Here is a 19,207-nt window from a genome sequence, read left to right as displayed (position 1 = left end):
CTTGAGGTCAGGAGTTTGAGACCAGCCTGGGGAACATAGTGAGACCTTGTCTCCACAAAAAAATTTTAAAAATTAGCTGGGCGTGGAGGTGCACGTCTACAGTCTCAGCTACTAGGGTGGCTGAGGCAGGAGAACTGTTTGACCCCAGGAGGTCGAGGCTGTAGTGAGCCAAGATGGCGCCACTACAGTCCAGCCTAGGTGACAGAGTGAGACCCAGTTTCCAAAAAAAAAAAAAGAGAAAGAATCGTTTCCATTGGTTAGCGCATCACTCCCAGGATCACTGGTTTCATTTTTATAGACACTGGATCAGAAAATTAATCTTTCAAGTACAGGTGTAGCTTTCTGTAGCCAAGTTGAATAGAATTACACTTCTGAGGCTGGGCACAGTGGCTCACGCCTGTAATCCTAGCACTTTGGGAGGCGAAGGCGGGCAAATCACGAGGTCAGAAGTTCAAGACCAGCCTGGCCAACATGGTGAAACCCCGTCTCTACTAAAAATACAAAATTAGCTAGGCGTGGTGGTATGCGCCTGTAATCCCAGCTACTTGGGAGGCTGAGGCAGGAGACTGCTTGAACCTGGGAGGTGGAGGTTGCCACCACTGCACTCCAGCCCGGGTGACAGTGCGAGACCCCACCTCAAAAGAAAAAAAAAAATGAATTATACTTCTGAGGCTGTGCACAGTGGCTCACCCCTATAATCCCGCAACTTTGGGAGGCTGAGGTGGGAGGACCACTCGAGACCAGCCTGGGCAACAGAGAGAGACCTTGTCTCTACAAAACATTAAAAAAGAAAAAAAATTTAGCCAAGTGTAGCTGTCCATGCCTGTGGTCTCAGCTACTTGGGAGGCTGAAGCGAGAGGATCGCTTGAGCAAGGAAGGTAGAGGCTGCAGTAAGCTGGGATCATACCATCACCCTTCAGCCTGGGTGCTGGAGGAGCAAGATTCTATCTAAAAAAATAAAAAAAAAAAAAAAAAAAAGAAAGAAAAAATCACACCTCACCCCTGGAAAAGAACTTAAGCGTAGCTGAATCTAACTTGCAATATGATTTTGCTGAAGATGAGGTTAAAGAGTGACGGCAGGCTGGCACTTGCAGCCACATTTCCAAAATTCTGGGTGTAAAATGCTCAGCACAGTGCCAGACACCTGTGCCTCAAAGTGTCAGAGAAATCTCAGCCACCTTCTTTCCCTTCCCCTCTCCCGGTTTTGCACCAAACCATCCTGTCCCTGGAGAATTTGCTCAATTAGAAGCGAGGTGAAATTCCAAGCACAGTTTGAAGGAGGAAGTGTCATTTTCAGCTTGCCTGTAGGTGCACCTCACTATGTAACATTTGTTACATAAGTGGCAGCATGACACGCCTAACTGATGAATGTCTGTTGCACACCCAATTCCAGCCGGGAGAGTCACGCAGGCTTTCCCTGGGAGAATAGTGGTGTGGAATTGAGGCATGGAGTTGCAAAAATTACTTTTGTCTTCTGACAAGTAGGGCCAGTTCCAGGGTGTTATACCCAAAGTGCTTTTCTACTGCAGCATAACCTCAAGAAAAACCAGTTTCAGGAGCACCACACCTAGGATCAGATGATGCAATATGATATTAGCGTCTCATTGCATCAGTGTGTCTGAGGCATGAGTCTTTTAAGCTGGCAAAAAGCATTATAAAGGGGCAGGAGAAAAAAGGAAAAGACTTGCAGACTGAAATCTAAAGGTACTGTCAGTGGTGTTCCTAATTGGCCACACAGGGTGTTTAGAGGATAAACACCCAGCCACCCGCCTCGGCTGACAAGCATCAGCATGCCATTTCCTGAAGGGGACTTGATGGCATATTTAGGCGAAATTCTTTTCTGGTTGGTTCTACTTATGCTTTATATCAAAGCGTCAAAGTTTAACCTCTAAAAAATCTTTTTAAATGCAGGTCTATTAAGAATAGGCTTTCAAAGGGTGCTTCTATTCCATCTTGACTTTTCTGAAAATCTCTGAAACGTACCAGTTGATTTCTCATTTCCAAAGTTCTTTTACATAAGCACTCTCAGCTCTCTTGACACACAGACTTTTGACTTTGATCAAATACCTTAGATTTGGGCCTCTTGGTTTCTCTGTCTTCCTTTACAGGACACTTGATGCTTCCCAGTCCTGTTTCTTGCACTAACAATGAATGAATGAATCACAAAAATCCTAGAACTTTATGCGTTTTCAAGAAGTTGCCTGAAGAAGGAACTTCCTTGTGCGGTACGCCTCAGGAAAAAAGAAGCAGGAGAAAAGCTTTGAGAGGAGAGCAAGTGACGGTGAGATCGTAATGGAAGTGGGGTGGAGAGGTGGAGGGTGGAGACCGGTAGGAAGCAAGCAAGGCTTTTTTCACCCGTCCCAGGACACGCGAACGAGATCAAGCCTCACTGCGGTTCACTAGGGTCTATGCAGGCCCTCGCACCCCTGCCTACCTCCTCAGAACCCAGCCTCTTGGCTCTTCTCACCCCAGCCCCACCAGACAGCTTCCCTCCCAGGAGGTGTCTCTCAAGATCTCGAAATGTGGAGCGTCCCGTTCACTCCACCTGGCCTGGAATACTTTTCCTGCCCCCTTTCATCGGGTCTTATTCATCCTTTAAGTTGTTCAGCATAACTTTCCACCTGAATGCCTTCCCTGGCCCTGGACTAGGATAAATCCCCTCGCCATAATGTTCCTACACAGGCATCACTTTGTAAAGCTTACCACTGTTGTAATTACTTGTTTACTGATCTGTCTTTCCGTTAGGCTGTGCGTTCCACTGGGGTGGAAACCTTGTTCACTGGCTCTGCAGCCCCGGGCACTGTGGGTCTTGCATGTACCGGGGGCTCAGTAAATATTTGGCAAAAAATGAAAAAGTTCCCCTCAAAGCCAGCTTCCAGTGCCTCCACGGCCCTCAAATTAATTATGAATTAATTCACTAATACAGCAAACCTTTATGTGATTCTTCCGTGTCACAGCACCTTGTTACATACTGAGGACACATCCACAGGCAAATAAAACTCAGCTTCTCTCTGCACAGGAAAAAATTATTCAAATTGTATTCATCTTTCATTCCAATCACTCAATTAGGGCACGTCCCTTGTTGGCTGCTGCGTGAGCGAAGTAACTATTTTCCAGCGAGTGTCCTCATGTGACCTGTCTAGACGTGCCCAGGAAAAACAATCCAACATCCTCCTAAGCCGCAAAGAAGTCCCTGACGCGCAGGCCGCACTGCGTGGAAGGCCCAAAGCGCGCTCGCGGGCCCGCGAAAGGCGCAGGAGCAGCGGAGCCGAGGCGGGCGGCGAGGCGCGCGGCGCGCGGCGCAGGCTCGGGTGGGCAGGGCAGGGCCAGGCCGGGCGGGGCGGGGGCGCCGGCAACGGGTCCGCCGGCCGGCAGGGGGCGCGCGCGCCCCGCGCCCCGCGCCTCCCGCCCCGCCGCGCGCTCGCTTGCCGCGCGGCCGCACATGTGTTTCTGTTTTGTGTTGTAGCATTTGTTCTGGAAGCTCGTATTTACATTTTAAGTGTATCTGGTGAGTGGGCTGGAGCCCTCGTCTGGGCCGGAAAAAAAAAAGCCCTCCGATCCGTCTTTTAGTTGCTTCTCTTCCTTTTTTCTCTCCGGTTTCTCATCACTCCAACCAGGTAGGGTCTGAAAATCGACAGTGATCAGTTTGTGGGGTCTGGGAAAGTTTTTTTTTTTTTCCTTTTTTTAAAGAGAAAAGGTTAAAAAAAAACCTGGGGGAGGGGGGCTGGGTGATTGAAGGAATAAAAAGAGGAAGGAAGGCGGATCCACGTGGTTTAATCGGAGACAGACAGAGATCCCATTGTTCAAAATCAATTAAAAAAAAAAAAAAAAGCAGACAGGGGAGAGCGCAGGGACGCCGGGGAGCTGGCGGCGGCCCTGGACACTTTGCAGTCGAATCGGAGACCGGCCGGGCCGCACGGCCGGCAAGGGGGCTGGGAGAGAGTTGGGCACCATTAAAGTTTTTATTTTTCGTGTCTGTGCGAGCAGGTGTTTGGGGCTGGGGTCCAGCTTTCTTCGGGCTCTTCCCCCGTCGCCGGGGGCAGTCCGCCGTAGGGATTCGGCTAACTAGAGCCCGAGGTCGGCACCCCTGAGCTGGGGCCGAACGGGGGTCCAGGGCTGATGCGGGGTGGGGGAGAGCGTTGCATTAAATGCCATGAGTGGGTTTGGGGGGAGACTGCGGAGACAAAAGCAGCAGGTGGGGTAGCCGGGGAGCAGGGGCTCCCTTACCACCCAGGTGCCAAGGGGGAATCCTGGAAGTGTCCCGAAGCCTTCTTTAATGAAAATCTAGGGGACTGGAGGCTGGTTTTACTTTCCCTTTACTTTTGGGGGGCGAGGTTGCAACTGTGATGCTTTGTGGGCAAACCTAACTTACGGATAGGCCGGGGGTCTCAATTCTCCCTCCAGGGGATTGCCTCTGGGGCTCCCGGCTGCCCTGCGGGATTCCCCGAAGGAGCCGCGCCGGGGCCAGGGAGGGGCGCGATTTCCTCTCCCAACTCGCCCCCTCTCCGCCCACCCTGCGGCCGCCACTTTGGGGAGGGCAGAGGAGGAAGTGGAGGCCGGGTGGCTCGTCTCCGCTCCCCTCCCCCCGCGCAGTTTATAACCCGTCCATTGTGCGCCGCTGCCCCGTGTCTCCCTCCAGCCGCGACCATGCCCAGGAAGAAGGCGGCGGCGGCGGCCTGGGAGGAGCCGAGCTCGGGCAACGGCACTGCCCGCGCCGGGCCCAGGAAACGCGGCGGCCCGGCGGGCAGGAAGCGCGAGCGGCCCGAGCGCTGCAGTAGCAGCAGCGGCGGCGGCAGCAGCGGCGACGAGGACGGCCTGGAGCTCGACGGGGCCCCCGGCGGGGGCAAGCGCGCGGCGCGGCCGGCGACAGCAGGCAAGGCGGGCGGCGCGGCCGTGGTCATCACCGAACCCGAGCACACCAAGGAGCGCGTCGTGAGTGAGGGTCAGGGTAGACGGGTGGGCGCAGGGCCGGGGCCGGCGGGCTCAGCGACGCGGCACGGCGCGCGTTCCAGCCGGGGGCCGCCTCGCGTCACGCTCCCTCCCGGCGGCCGGGCCGGCGCAGGCCGCGGGCTGAATCATTGCCTCCGCCTCCGCGCAACAAAAGGGCTCGGTACGGGGCGCGCGGCCCGCGGCCTACCCGACCCCGGGCACCGCGCGGGCGGTTGGCGGTTGGGGCGCGCGCCCGGGCCCGCGGCGGGGGAGGGGCGGCCGAAGCCCGCACGAGGGGGTCATGGCCCCGCCCCCACAGCTCCCTCTGCGCCCCTCCCCCCCCGCCCCGGGAAAGGGGACCTCGGTAAGTTCGCCCGGCCTGGAAGAGGGGGCGGCCAGCGGGCCCCACACGTCCGTGGCCGCCGCTGCGCCCGGGCGCCGCGGGGAGGGGGCGGCCGGCGCTCTGCGGGGAGCGGCCGTTTGCGCCGGGGCTTTGAGGTTCCCGCCGCCTCGGCTCCGGCGCCCGGGGGGGGCGGGGCCTGACGGCCGCCGCGCATGCTCCGCAGAGCCCTCCCCCGAGGTCGGGGAAGCCCCCCGGCTGAGCGGTGCTCGGGCTTTGTTTGCCGCCGGTGGTCCGAAGCTGCAGGATGCTCGCGAGGGCTCTGTTGTAGCCCCCCCAAGTGAAGAAGCATCTCCTAGGGTCCTGGGCGGGCTTCTGTTTTCTCAAATCTTAATTAAGGTCGTGGCTGACTCAAGTTAACGTTCCCGAAAAAGCCTGCAGAGCCGGAGATCTGAACCCGGCATCTGCCGCCACAGCATCTCCCCACCCCCACAGAACTTTCTTTAAGTTTGGTGTGGTGTGGGATATGTTTTTCAGAAGAGGGTCTAAGTTTTCACCAGATTCTCAGATAACCCCCAGAGAGCAAGAACTTCCACCTGGGGTGTAGAGCCTGACACCCGGAGAGGTTTTTTTCCTTCCATAAGTGCCCATCTCCTAAGGGTGTTTAAGGGTTAACAGCAGAGTGCTTTCCTCCAGAGAAGCGCAGGCAGTGTCTAATAACACATTTTCTACGTCCGTTTTATAGATAGGGAAACTGGGGCACAGAATTCGAGGGCCTTGTCCAAAGTCATGGATGGAACTGGATCTCCAAATGCTGTAACTCCTGATGTCCCTGCAAATTGCACATGGGAATATGCTTTGTAAAAGTGCCTTCTGGGTGAAAGGGTTAACATGTTAGGCAGTGGAGGAGAGCCCGTCAAAAGCTGTCAAAAGGTCTTGCCCGGGGTCTTGGATCAGGCTAGACTAGACAATGGCCAAAGTATTGAGAAACTGGAACACAGGAACTGTTTTCCTTTGACGTCTAGTCTGCTGTGCCAGACTCCAGACATTTGCCCTCCGAACACAGTATGTTAGGATGAAACTAAAAAGAAAGGCCAGGTGAGCTTCCGCGTCTCCTGTATCCTATTTTGAGTGAGTTTCCAAAAGCAAGATTGTGTTTAGACATCCAAGACTGCAGTTATCAGCTGTACAGCTCCAGACTGTTGGAACGCTGAATTTTGCCATCAGAGCAAAAGATCCTTACCCCATGCTGAGATTGACCCAAGGAGGTAGAGACAGGGAGTGTGTGAGGGACACTGGCTCTCCCTGGCCCACCTCTGTCTCCAGCTGTGCTGCTTGAAGCTGCTTTGTCAATGGAAATGGCACATTTGTTAGTCTTTTTTTTTTGAGGCAGAGTCTCCCTCTATGGCCAGGCTGGAGTGCAGTGGCACGATCTCAGCTCACTGCAACCTCCGCCTCTCAGGTTCAAGTGATTTTTGTGTGCTGATCAGCCTCTCGAGCAGCTGGGATTACAAGTGTGTTCCACCACACCCGAATAATTTTTGTACTTTTTGTAGAGGCTGGGTTTTACCATGTTGGCCAGGCTGGTCTCAAACTGCTGGCCTCAAGTGATCTGCCTGCCTCAGCCTCCTTCCAAAGTGCTGGGATGACAGGCGCGAGCCCTGTGTTGGGTTGCATGTTTGTAAGTCTTAATGTGAGTAAACAGCAGTCCATTGCAGCTTTTAAGTTCCTGTTTATACACATAAATACGTTATTATTTTACATATGTGTATAAGCAGGACTCTAAAAGCTACATCTTCCTTTCTCTATCCACTTAAAACCAACAGGGGCCCATGATGCCCATCCTTTGGGCTGTCGGTGCTGTTCTAGAATCAGAGCACCTGGGAGGCTGAGGGTTCAGCATATGATGCCCCTTTATGCCTCATGGAAAGTGCACACCCTACATTTAAGTTTTGCTTTTTTTTTTTTTTTTTTGAGCTGGAGTTTAGCTGTTGTTGCCCAGGTTGGAGTGCAATGTTGCGATCTCAGCTCACTGCAATCTCCGCCTCCCGGGTTCAAGCAATTCTTCTGCCTCAGCCTCCCGAGTAGCTGGGATTATAGACGCCCACCACCACACCTGGCTAATTTTTTGTATTTTTAGTAGAGACGGGGTTTCACCACGTTGGCCAGGCTGGTCTCGAACTCCTGATCTCAGGTGGTCCACCCACCTTGGCCTCCCAAAGTGCCCCACGTTTAAGTTTTGTTAGCATCTACTGAGTTTGGTCCATGTTCGGGGCTGGGTCCATGCAGCCCCATTGCCTTTCCATAGGCCTAGGGCAGCCCTCTGCCCCTTGTCCTGGGTTGGCCTCCTGCCCAGTCTCCCTGGCCCCAGGTTTCTGGTCTCTGTTTCTCTGTTGAGCAGTCCTAGGGACCCTGTGTGCTGCCACAGGCAGACAGCAGTCCTTGTTGCAGAAAGAACCTTTTTTACTGAGCATTTTGCATGCCTTGCCCCGCTCAGGGTTGCTAGGAGGAGGTCTGTGTGAAAGCAGCCGCCCAGGAAATGTCCAAAACCATATTGCCTTCAGTGACCCCAAAGCTGCAGGTGTCGGGCTTGTAGAAGATGAGCCAAATACTTACATTGTTGAGGGGCAGAATTGCCTTGAGTAAAAGATGTGCATTTTATAGAACATTCTTATGGCAGATGAGCGTTGTCATTGCCTAGGTGTTAAGAAAAAATTCAAATTCTTTTTTCCTCCGCTCTCACGGCCACACTCAACAACCAACACCAGACTTCTTCCGCACCCCCCACCCCAGATGGAGTCTTGCTCTGTCTCCCAGGCTGGAGTGCAGTGGTGTGATCTCAGCTCACTGCAGCCTCCACCTCCTGGGTTCAAGCAACTCTCCTGCCTCAGCCTCCTGAGTAGCTGAGATGACAGGCACCTGTCACTGTGCTCGGTAATTTTTGTATTTTCAGTAGAGATGGGGTTTCACCATGTTGGCCAGGCTGTCTTGAACTCCTGACCTCGTGATTTGCCCGCCTCCCAAAGTGCTGCGATTACAGGCGTGAGCCACCACGCCCCGCCTCCCAACACAAGACTTCTGTGACTAGACGTAAAGGGAGGTCTCCCCCTGCTATCAAGCAAGCAATCAGTTCTGCAGCACACACCGGCTGGGTGTCCTCCAGTTCATCTCTTGACACTATCCACCTGGAGGTAGATTTCCTCATCTTGAGGGCTCAGTCCCCAAGACTGTCCTTCCACCCCAGACACCAGTTGCAAGTCCAGTCCCTGGTAGCTTCTGACCAACTAGCCTCTAGTTGGGGTTCTCATGACCCCCTCTTTGGGGTCGATTAATTTATTGGAATGGCTCACAGAACTCAGGGAAACACCAGTTTATTATAAAGGATATTACAAAGGCTATGGATAAAGAGACCTGTAAGGCTAGATGTGGCAGAAGGGGCACTGTGTTTCCGTGCCCTCTGCAGACCACCCACCTGGTACATGTTCAGCTCTCCACAAGCTCTGTGACCTGGTCCTTACAGGTTTTTAACGGAGGCTTCATTATGTAGGCATGGTAGATTAAGCCATTGATCATCACTTTAACCTTCAGTCATCTCCCTCCTGAGGTTGGAGGATGGGGCTGAAAGTCCCTAGGCTCCCACTGCCCCATCCGGAAGCTGCCTGGGGGCTGCCAGTGTCAGTCATTAGCATACAAAAAGACATTGCTTTGGAGATTCCAAGGATTTGGGAAGTTGCATGCCAGGAACTCCAAATATTGATGGCAGTGTCACACTAGGGTAGATTCAGTCCTAATTCTTTGCGCACTTCATAACCTCCTAAAGCAAGTAAAGGCAGCAGCCTTGGCCAGATCCTACAAAACAGGTGAGTGTTGCAAGCTGCCCAGGTCTTTGTAGTTTTTCCAGTCTTGGGTTGCCAAGGTTTTGTGGACCCTGAGACAGATGTGTTGAATCTGAAAGGAGCAAATAAATAAAACTGAAAGCCAACCCGGAAGTCTGTTTCAGTTGATGGCCCTTAGGTAATTGGTCGATGCCGGCATTGTTCCCGGGGGTCTTACCTCCCCGGAGCAGCGGTCTTCTACATGGACCTATGTTAAAAGGTTGACTCTGGGCCCCGTAAACGCGCACCTTGCATTTGGATCATAATTCAAAAATTGCTTTAGACTAGAAATCCCATTTTGTTGATTGAAGAAGCTCAGTGCCTTTTCTGTCCATTTCTGTGTGTCTCTGCCCAGGTTATGTGACCAAGTTGCTGGAGGCAGCCAGGTGAAATGACATGAAAATCACTCATCTCATTGGGCAGACTGTTTGCCAGGCTGTCTGCTGCGTGGCCTTTATACACAAGCAGGGTCGCAGACACTGAGTTCGTCCAAAAAAACAATCCGTAGGCCCATCAGGGAAGGCTGGATTCCGCCTGGGAGGGCACACTGAGCTTCAGACACCCACACACCCACTGGCACCCCCGCCCTGCCCCGCCGCCCCGGGTGGAGCCCGCAAGCGCGGGAGTCTCTCCCACGATTGGCTGTTTCTGGTCTCTGAGGAAGAGGAGCACCCCTTAAGTGAGAAGGGGTGCTGGGAGTTCTCTGTTACTCTATTTAAATGTTAATTCCACATAAGGCAGAGGAAAGAAGTTATAGAGAAATAAAAGAAAGCAGCTTAGAGCAAACAATTATGTAAATAATAACGAAATACACTAACCTCCATCTAATGTGTGAGGAAATAGGATCCATGACGTAAAAACTTGAATAACAGTTAATGTCCTTCATAGGAATCTGACCACCGTCACTGGAGTAGACTCAGTTTACCGGGGTTTTTCACACATACACACGTATATATGTATATGTATACACACGTATGTATATGTGTGTGTGTGTGTATATATATGTGTGTGTGAGTGTATATATATATTTTTTTCTTTTTCTTTTTCTTTTTCTTTTTTTAAGATGGAGTCTCGCTCTTTCGCCCAGTCTGGAGTGCAGTGGCGCGATCTCGGCTCACTGCAAGCCCCGCCTCCCGGGTTCATGCCCTTCTCCTGTCTCAGCCTCCCGAGTAGCCGGGACTACAGGCGTGAGCCACCATGCCCGGCCCACAAATACATTTTTATTGGCGTGGTTGGGTTTGCCTATAAATGCTTAGCTAGCTTGATGGATCAGTCTTCATGAGCCCTTGACCAAATGTCCAGGTCACCCAGGAAACTCCCTCCCCAAGGCCAAGGCCACTGCGGTTAAGCTCTGGCTGTCTGAACTTGCCCCTGAACCATGCCCTCTGGCCTGATGGAGCTGAGGCTTCTGGTGTGGCCTCAGCACTGTGAAGTTTTGCTGCAGTGGTTGCATCTCAGTGTAGGGTGGTTTGACTTCAATGGTTCATACTGAGCACAGGTGCCCATGAACCTCCGCCTGCCTGGTCTGCAGTTGCTGGCATTCCAGGGCTCTTTTCTAGGCTTGCCCTCTGGCCTGGGAGCTTGGTCTCCAGTGCCTTAGCACCCTTCCTGGGTCTCTACTGCCCCCTCCATGCCAACTTGGTAGGCTTGGGCAGAGGACCCAGAGGCCTCTCCTTCCACAGGGACTTCAACAGAAGCCATTGAATATAGACCTGTAGCATATTCCAGCCAGGCCTGCCAGTTAAACAAAGAAGGGCAGATAACCAGGGGAAGCTAGGCTCCAATTCAAGTAACCTGAGTTGTGGGTGCTGCAGGGGCTGGGCCACCCTCTGATTAAGGTCATTTTCTAAATAATTTAAATGAACCAAAGTTGTTCTCCCTTTCCGTGTTGTTTCACTTCCCTCCCCCCAACTTTTTTTTTCTCTTTTTGAGACAGAGTTTCGCTCTTGTTGCCCAGGCTGGAGTGCAATGGTGTGATCTCGGCTCGCTGCAACCTCTGCCTCCTGGGTTCAAGCGATTCTCTTGCCTCAGCTTCCCAAGTAGCTGGGATTACAGACACCCGGCTAATTTTTTGTATTTTTAGTAGAGACAGGGTTTCACCATGTTGGCCAGGCTGGTCTCAAACTCCTGACCGCAGGTGATCCACCCACTTTGGCCTCCCAAAGTGCTGGGATGACGGGCCATGAGCTACCGCGGCTGGCCTCACTTCCCCTTTTCATGAGGACTGCAGGATGCATTCCTGTAGATTGACCATCTTTTTCCTGTTACATAATGTGGTGGAGTGGGCAAGCGTGACGGAACCTATATCTTGGGGGACGCCCTAATCAGGTTTGGGTCGTGTAAAGGTTCCTATTGAAGTGGAAATCATCCGTCATGAAGATGTGTAATCTTAGAAATGCGTGAGCCGTACTGCCAAAGCATACCCATGGGGTGATCACACTGTAGAGGTTAGAATGATTGGGCCTGGAGCTGCCCTTTTTTCTTTTTCTTTCTTTCTTTTTTTTTTTTTTTTTTTTTTGAGACAGGGCTGGCTTTGTCACCATGGTTGGTCTTGAACTCCTGACCTCAGGTGATCCGCCTGCTTCAGCCTCCCAAAGTGCTGAGATGACAGGCGTGAGCCACCACACCCAGCCCACATATATATATATATATATATATTTTTTTTTTTTTTTTTTTTTTTTTTTGAGATGGAGTCTTGCTCAGTCGCCCAGGCTGGAGTGCAGTGGTGCGATCTTGGCTCACTGCAAGCTCCGCCTCCTGGGTTCACACCAATCTCCTGCCTCAGCCTCCCGAGTAGCTGGGACTACAGGTGCCGGTCACCATGCCCGGCTAATTTTTTTTGTATTTTTAGTAGAGATGGGGTTTCACCGTGCTAGCCAGGATGGTCTCTATCTCCTGACCTCGTGATCTGCTTGCCTCAGCGTCCCAAAGTGCTGGGATTACAGGTGTGAGCCACCGCGCCTGGCCAACAAATACATTTTTATTGGCATGGTTGGGAACTTTCATCGGCGTTATTTTATTGGCATTTTATCGGCACTTTGGGAGGCCAAGGTGGGTGGATCACCTGCGGTCAGGAATTTGAGACCAGCCTGGCCAACATAGTGAAACCCTGTCTCTACTAAAAACACACAAAATTAGCTGAGTGTCTGTAATCCCAGCTACTTGGGAGGCTGAGGCAAGAGAATCGTTTGAACCCGGGAGGCAGAGGTTGCAGCAAGCCGAGATCACGCCACTGCACTCCAGCCTGGGCAGCAACACTGGGAGTGCAATGGTGCAATCTCAGCTTACTGCAACCTCCGCCTCCCGGGTTCAAGGGATTCTTCTACCTCAGCCTCTGGAGTAGCTGGGACGACAGGCGGATGCCACCACGCCTGGCTAATTTTTTTGTATTTTTAGTAGAGACGGGGTTTTACCATATTGGCCAGGCTGGTCTTGAACTCCTGACCTCGTGATTCACCCGCCTCAGCCTCCCAAAGTGCTGGGATTACAGGCGTGAGCCACTGTGCCTGGCCCCCTTTTTTTTTTTTTTGAGACAAGGCCTGGCTATGTCACCTAAGCTGGAGAGCAGGTGTGATCTTGGCTCACTGCAGTCTCCAGCTCCTCAGCTCAAGCAATCCTCCCACCTCAGCCTCCCAAGTAACTGGGACCACAGGCTCATTTTTCTATTTTCTGTAGAGACAAGGTTTTGCCATGTTGCCCAGCCTGGTCTCCAAGCTCAAGCAATCTGCCCGCCTCGGCCTTCCAAAGTGCTGGGATTACAGGCGTGAGCCATTGCGCCTTGCCAGACTTTTTTCCTGAAGCCTTCCAAGAACAATTCTGTAAACTGAAGGAAACCCCTTTCCTTTTCACGTCCAGGAAAGATGTGTAAGAGCGGAAAGTGATAGCAGTGAATGCTTCCCTTGCCAGTGTGGACTGAGTGAGGAGTTCAGAATTGAGTCTTCCACTAACAACCTACTTGAAAAAGTATATTTTGACATTTAAGGAAGCAAAGTGCTGAGAATATTATGAGTGCCACCCAGAATTGAACAATGGCCTTTTTAAATGGCGTAGATTTTCGTTGACAGTATGAGAGTTGGTGGCCCTGATGACTTTGTGTTGAGAGACTGAGGATGAACACTGAAGTATGCTGGCTGCTGTGACAGCTTGTTCCTTGAGAGCCGGGCCCCTGGGAGGTCCTGTTTCACTCACCATTGGCTCCCGGGCTCATGGACAGCGGCATGAGGGTGCCATCAAAGGCCGCCTGATTCAGACCCCTGCATACCCACCAAAGCTGTGTTCTGCCTGGTCTCCCTTCAGTGGAGAAATCGAACCTTGTTCTCTACTGTTTTCTTCCTGAGTCCCCATGGAAAGGCTCTCGGCAGAGTGGGCAGCAGAAGTGATGTGAGGCTCCTAAGGTTTGAGGTCGCAGGCCGTGCTTGCCATGTGAAATAGAGACTTGGCCCTAGGATGAGCTGGATTTAACGCCCCTGAGTGTCCGGCAGGCTTCCTGCAAATACCTCTGTACATCAGTTTGCGAAGGAGGCATGTATTTGGGTTTTTTTTTTAGTGTTTTGCAAAAGCTATTTTAAAGGGAAGTCAAAGGATAAAAATGAGCCTGGGCTTAGCAAGTGAGCGGCTGTGGGCAGGTTTGGGGTTGCCCGCATTGCCACTTGCCGATGAGGGAGGGGAGTGTGGGGAGACTCTGTTCGTGTGGAGGTCACAGGTGACATAAGGGCTAACTGAATGATTTTCTTTCGTTTCGTGCTGTCATTGGACAGCCTTGGAAAGCTAGGTGCAGACTTACACACTAATTCTTTTTTCCTTTCTCTGTCTCTGCAGAAACTTGAAGGGTCAAAGTGCAAAGGGCAGCTTTTGATTTTTGGGGCAACCAACTGGGACTTGATTGGTCGAAAAGAAGTGCCTAAACAGCAAGGTATGAGAATGGTGCCTCAAAAACCCATTGAGTGCTTCTTAAGTGCTAGGTTCTGTTGACCACCTGCCTGGTAGGTATTCCCTTCATTTACAAATGCATTTTCACAGAGGCCAAGTGACTTGCCTGAGGCCACACAGCCACTGTAGTGATGAGCTGGATTTGAACCCTAATCTTAGTCTTTTAAAGGCACAATTTTGAAGTGACTCACTAATTCCGTTAAGATTAATCAGGAAAATACAAGTAGTATCCTCAAATGAACATTGCCACCTTTTCCATCTTCCCTCTCACCTCACTTGTTTTCATTAAAATGAAGAGACCAGGTCTGTGAGATGGTGTCAGAATGTCCTAGACATTTGTCAAATGTCAGGTGTCAAAATTTCAGGCATTGCAGAAGAGTCCACGTTTCTTTGCAAGCTGCCAAATTGTTGCAGGAACTGGTTTGACAGAACAGTCTGGAGCGGGGGAAAGCAGAGAGGTCCTTAAGAAGTAATGTTTTGTCCCCAGTTACCTTTGGAAAACTGGTGTCTTAAGGGAAAAGGCCCATCCAGGAGAAGGAAGGCTGGCATGTAGCCAACTTTTATGGCTTCTTGATTTCATCTGGAAAGACTCCCAAAGTGCTTTCCAGCATTGCTTTGCCCCATGAACAAATATTTGCACGCTGGCTCGTCTTGGCACCTTAAAACAGGGGCGTTGGAAATCACCTTGTTCCATGAAAACACCTGGGGGCCAGCTGAATTAGAAATGGGTTTAAGTTGCAGGTAGCAGCAGCGCGTTGTTTGGAAAATGCCCAGCCTTCAGGCCCAAGCCAGAGGGGGCCACGTCCACATGGTGGCTTTTGTCCCAGGGAAGCACCTCCTGGTCTACAGTAACGTAAGCCCAGGTGCTGATGGCGCCTTGTTGCCAGTCCTGTGCCCGTGTTGCATCATTTCTCAAAGCCGTTCTTCAACTGAGCAGCCCAGTTGACATTGAAGATACAGAAGCCCAGGGAAGGGCAGTAAATACCAAAGGAAGCGAGTGGCAGGGCCAGGGTTGGAGTCCCACTCTCTAGTTAACTCTGTTGCCTCCCGCGCATGTATGTTGCTGTAGATCTGGTGAAAACCAGCAGCCTGGATGTCTTGGTTTTTGCAAGATAGCACCACAGCAAGCCACACAGTAGCTCTGTGATTGGGACCAGACCCCAGGGATCCGGAGGCCGTGGGAATTGACTTCTCAGTCTGACCGCAGAGCCTGGGACTGCTGCAGGGCGTTTAATTTGACTTGCTCCCCCTCCCCCACCCCTGCCCGGTCCCTCCAGTCCCTCCAGCCCTTCCTTGGGAGGCCGGAAGAAACCCAACCCGGCTCCTCAGGAGCCAGTGGCATCCTGGGCACTGCAGGGAAAGATGCTTTGGTAAGTCCAGGAGCATCTGACCACCTGAGACTCCCCTTGGCCAAGCAAGTTCAAGTGTGGCACCGCACCCTTGCCTGGCGTCCCGTGGCCTCCTGTGTTGCGGCACAGGGTCGTGATGATACTCGTCAATCATGCCATCATTTTGTCTTCATGGCAAAGAGACCTTGGGTTTCTCTTTATCCCTTCCGAGTTTTGTTTAATACAGTTCCTGAATCTTAATTTAGGTGCCACCTCCTTGAGTTTTTCTTAAGTTTTAATATAGACCATGAGGCTTTTATTTTTGGTTTGCTCTTTCCCCAGGAAATTGTTGATGTTCCTCTTCCTCCTTTCAGGGGAGGTGTCTGCAGGTGTGCTGCTTCAGGTGCCATGCGGGATCGGCTGGCCCCTGCCCGCCTGCGGCCAGGAGTCTTGCCCACTTGCCCCCACACCTGAATGAGGGAGCATGTGGTGCCCTCTGCTGAGGGCGGAGGGTGGGGCTGGAACGTACTTCACAGATACTTTCTAGGCAGCCAGGCGCTTGATAGAGACATTGTAGCCTTTTTATCAGTTCCTACATTGGATCAGTCTTACACACTCGATTTGGCAGTGGCTAGCATTTCAGGATAATCACCACAATCCTGGAAATACTCTTGAGCATCTCAATTTCAAAAATTAAGATTGCTGGGCATGGTGGCTCACGCCTGTAATCCCAGCAGTTTGGAAGGCTGAGTCGAGTGGATCACTTGAGCTCAGGAGTTAAAGACCAGCCTGGCCAATATGGTGAAACCCTCTCTACTAAATATACAAAAATTAGCTGGGTGTGATGGCACACGCCTGTAATCCCAGTTACTCGTGAGGCTGAGGCAGGAGAATCAATTGAACCTGGGAGGCAGAGGTTGCAGTGAACCGAGATTGTGCCACTGCTCTCCAGCCTGGGCAACAGTGAAACTGTCTCAAAAAAAAAAAAAAAAAAAAAAAAAGAAAAGTAAGAAATTGGCCCTGCCCCATCCTCTAATAGGGTGTGAAGGGGGGTTTGTGAGGAAGATGCTGTGGTTTTCTTTCCCATTGAGTGCTCGCTGCGTGCCAGGCATTTGTGAGGGTCTAGGCTGGAGGGAGCCTACAGCTTTAGCCCTGGGTGGCTTCTCATGGAGTGGGAGGGCTGGGGGGCTCAGGAAGAGAGCTGTGGTGGGCTGAGCAGGGCTGAGCAGAGCTGGGGCAGGGGAGCCCTGGGGGAAGGAGATTTCTCAGTGGATGTTGCCCTGGAGGGCTTCCCCAAGGAGGCGAACTGGTGCTTGACTTGAGCTTTCAGGAAGAAGTAGGAGGTGGGAAGGACATTCTAGGGGAAGCGAATATATGGGTGGGTGTCAGGGGAGTCATGAAGTGGCTGTCACACTGGACGGGTGAGAAGGGAGCAGGAGGTGGGGTGATACTGTGTGAGCAGTGCCCCTCCTCAAGGGGCCTGATGGAGCTGCTGGGAACATGAAGACAGGACACTCGGGTCACCCCTCAGAAAGAGCCTTCTGGCCCAGGGTGAAGGCCGGAGATGGAGGGCAGGAGAGCCTGGGAAAGGAGGGGCAGGCGGCAGGGAGTGAGGAGGAGGGGTAGGTTACTGTCAGGGTGAGCGGGGTTTCCTGGGTCAGCCTCTTCCTCAGCTGACGGCTGTGGAAAGCCAGCACTCCTGCCTCCTGGACAGACCTCGCACCAGGTCCCGGGCACTTGCGGGTGGGCGTGCTCAATGGCAGAACACGTGGGGCTGAGCCCTGTGAGAGGTGGGACCCAGAGAGGGGGCTGGGGCCGAATGGGTGTAAAGGTGGCAGGTGACGCCAGGCCTGTGCCAGCTTCTGGGTATTTTGATTTTTGGGCCTTCAGAGGCATCGCAGAGATTCGAAGTGAAAACCCGATCCTTGTGCAGCCTCCCAACAGCCAAGGCAGGGTGGCACCCGAGGAACACCTGTCCCTGGTACCCTCGGGAAGTGGCTGCTTGGTGGCCAGTGACATTTTGGAGGTCACCCCACCACCCCAGGTGTCTGATCTGCATTCTCATTCTCTCTGCAGCTGCTTACCGCAATCTCGGTCAGAATTTGTGGGGGCCCCACAGATATGGGTGCCTGGCGGGGGTCCGGGTGCGGACAGTGGTCTCGGGCTCGTGTGCTGCACACAGCCTCCTCATCACCACGGAAGGGAAGCTGTGGAGCTGGGGTGAGTACCGTGCGGGTGCTGGGCACTGGGGACCACTGTCACCAGCTGTCCCCACACAGCACGTTCTTCTGTTTGCCTGGAAAAGAGACTCGCGTCTTATAAGGCTGGGCTCCTTCGTTCACAGCCCATGTCTTTTTTCCTAATTCCCAGCTCGTCTCTTGTCTACACGCTACATGCAGATCCCCTTCCCCCCTGACATTTTTTGCCCATACGCAGCCCCTACTTCTTTGATTCCTTGTGTTTACACAAGGAACATTTTCCTGAATCTTCTGCCCGAAGCTTGATCTTTTCTGATACTGAGGTGTGTGAGTGTGTTAGGCAGGCTGTCCTTCCAGCAGACAGTTTCCTTCCTCTTTGAGGCACGATATGACATGAGACCTCTGTTGCTGCCACTTGAAATGCCACTGGCTTTTCTACCTCCCGCCTCATGTCATAGGATGCTGCGTCCCTGCCGCCATGGCCCTCGTGTCTGAGGTCTGCCCAAGTCTGGTCTGCAGGCTTGGCAGCTCACTGTCCGTGTTGTCTGCTTCTTAGGATATTTCCCCAGATACTTCAGTTTGCTTTTTTGGAGTTGTTCGGCTTTCCCTTCTGTTTTTCCTCACCTGGGCACTCGGGATGGGTTCCAGTTCTTCTGTTAGCCTCTGTCCACGGCACTGTCCTCTGCAGCCGGCCGGCCCATTCCTGCCCGTGTCCTCTTCCAGATCATTCCAATCATAGGGTATGGGCTAAGGCTCATTTTATCCCCAGCCCTTTTGGTGACTCCCGGCCTCTGCCTCCAGCGGGGCATATTGGCGTTTGTCCCCACCCTTTGTCGCTGGTCCTCTGGCTAGCTTTTAGTCCATATGACTGCATTTTTATTTTGGGCTGTTTGAACCGTTTTTTGTGATTTCATGAGCTGCTGTACCAAAGTCCAAATATATTAACATCTGTTGTCTTCCCTGCACATGGCTAATTTTGTAATTCTGTTGAAAAAAGCTAAAGTGTGTCTGGCCCAAATTTATACTTTATAGTCTCTTGATGACATGCTGACATTGCCACAGTTTTTGTTTTCTCCCGGTTGGCATAGATGTGTGTCCCTTCCCCCAGAGCACCCCTCCTACTTTGTGTTCCAACACTGAACACAGCCTTTTATGTCAGTGTTCCAAACTTAAAATACCTCAGTTCTGATCTCTCGCTGAGCTTCACTTGCGTGGTGGCTCTGAAAGCGCCCTCAGTTCTGACCCTGTGGGCAGGGACAATGTATGTCCCGCCATCAAGACGTGTGATCCCCGAGCAGACAGTGCAGTTGGTGAGGACAGGGTTGGAAGGTGTCACAGGCCCACTGCTCGCCACTCTAGAAGGCAGGGGGCGGCGTCTGGTGTGAGTAGAGTACCACGGGAGGGTGGCTGACGCATTGCTCATGTGGGGTCTCCATCTGTGGCCCGCTCACCCTGTCCTGCCGCATCTCAGTCCACTGAGACTTGCACTTGTTGCTCTGTATTCACATGCCTTTCACATGAACTTGGGCAGCTCCCATTGGAAGCTGGTGTATCTGCCTCTCCTGCTCGAGTGCCAGTGCTGGCCCTTCAGCCCGCCGTTCTTTAATT

The 19,207-nt window shown here is 52.4% G+C and overlaps 1 protein-coding gene and 1 long non-coding RNA gene across 3 annotated transcripts in view, besides 5 other annotated features; both read left to right on the top strand.

Annotated features, from left to right (window-relative positions):
- LOC124903862 (uncharacterized) lies at positions 1,619–3,026 on the top strand. Its single transcript, XR_007065508.1, has 2 exons — positions 1,619–1,704; positions 2,109–3,026. It is a non-coding gene; the product is annotated as an uncharacterized LOC124903862 (long non-coding RNA).
- Positions 3,246–3,385: a silencer, noted in NCBI's record as "silent region_343". NCBI's record gives its function as "represses an Ori minimal core promoter by ATAC-STARR-seq in GM12878 lymphoblastoid cells {active_cell/tissue: GM12878}" and the evidence as "EXISTENCE:reporter gene assay evidence [ECO:0000049][PMID:35858748]".
- The window catches only part of RCC2 (regulator of chromosome condensation 2), a 32,918-nt gene continuing 17,195 nt past the window's right edge, over positions 3,485–19,207 (top strand). Inside the window, exons 1-4 of one of the 2 annotated variants that reach the window (NM_018715.4) lie at positions 3,485–3,617; positions 4,640–4,932; positions 13,963–14,056; positions 17,478–17,621. In NM_018715.4, coding sequence (NP_061185.1) covers positions 4,648–4,932; positions 13,963–14,056; positions 17,478–17,621 — 523 coding nt within the window. In that variant the 5' untranslated portion in view covers positions 3,485–3,617; positions 4,640–4,647. Of the gene's footprint in view, positions 3,618–4,625; positions 4,933–13,962; positions 14,057–17,477; positions 17,622–19,207 lie in introns of those variants that run through there. The other variant, NM_001136204.3, reaches the window with a different exon arrangement.
- Positions 4,705–4,804: a silencer, noted in NCBI's record as "silent region_342". NCBI's record gives its function as "represses an Ori minimal core promoter by ATAC-STARR-seq in GM12878 lymphoblastoid cells {active_cell/tissue: GM12878}" and the evidence as "EXISTENCE:reporter gene assay evidence [ECO:0000049][PMID:35858748]".
- Positions 13,739–14,353: an enhancer, noted in NCBI's record as "NANOG-H3K4me1 hESC enhancer chr1:17755305-17755919 (GRCh37/hg19 assembly coordinates)". NCBI's record gives its function as "activates a minimal SCP1, AML or CMV promoter by ChIP-STARR-seq in naive H9 embryonic stem cells {active_cell/tissue: H9 hESC(naive)}" and the evidence as "EXISTENCE:reporter gene assay evidence [ECO:0000049][PMID:30033119]".
- Positions 14,399–15,037: an enhancer, noted in NCBI's record as "H3K27ac-H3K4me1 hESC enhancer chr1:17754621-17755259 (GRCh37/hg19 assembly coordinates)". NCBI's record gives its function as "activates a minimal SCP1, AML or CMV promoter by ChIP-STARR-seq in primed H9 embryonic stem cells {active_cell/tissue: H9 hESC(primed)}" and the evidence as "EXISTENCE:reporter gene assay evidence [ECO:0000049][PMID:30033119]".
- Positions 16,957–17,595: an enhancer, noted in NCBI's record as "H3K27ac-H3K4me1 hESC enhancer chr1:17752063-17752701 (GRCh37/hg19 assembly coordinates)". NCBI's record gives its function as "activates a minimal SCP1, AML or CMV promoter by ChIP-STARR-seq in naive H9 embryonic stem cells {active_cell/tissue: H9 hESC(naive)}" and the evidence as "EXISTENCE:reporter gene assay evidence [ECO:0000049][PMID:30033119]".

The sequence above is a fragment of the Homo sapiens genome, chromosome 1 (assembly GCF_000001405.40).
Source record: "Homo sapiens chromosome 1, GRCh38.p14 Primary Assembly".
Lineage (NCBI taxonomy): Eukaryota > Metazoa > Chordata > Mammalia > Primates > Hominidae > Homo > Homo sapiens.
This window is presented reverse-complemented; position numbering and strand designations above follow the sequence as displayed.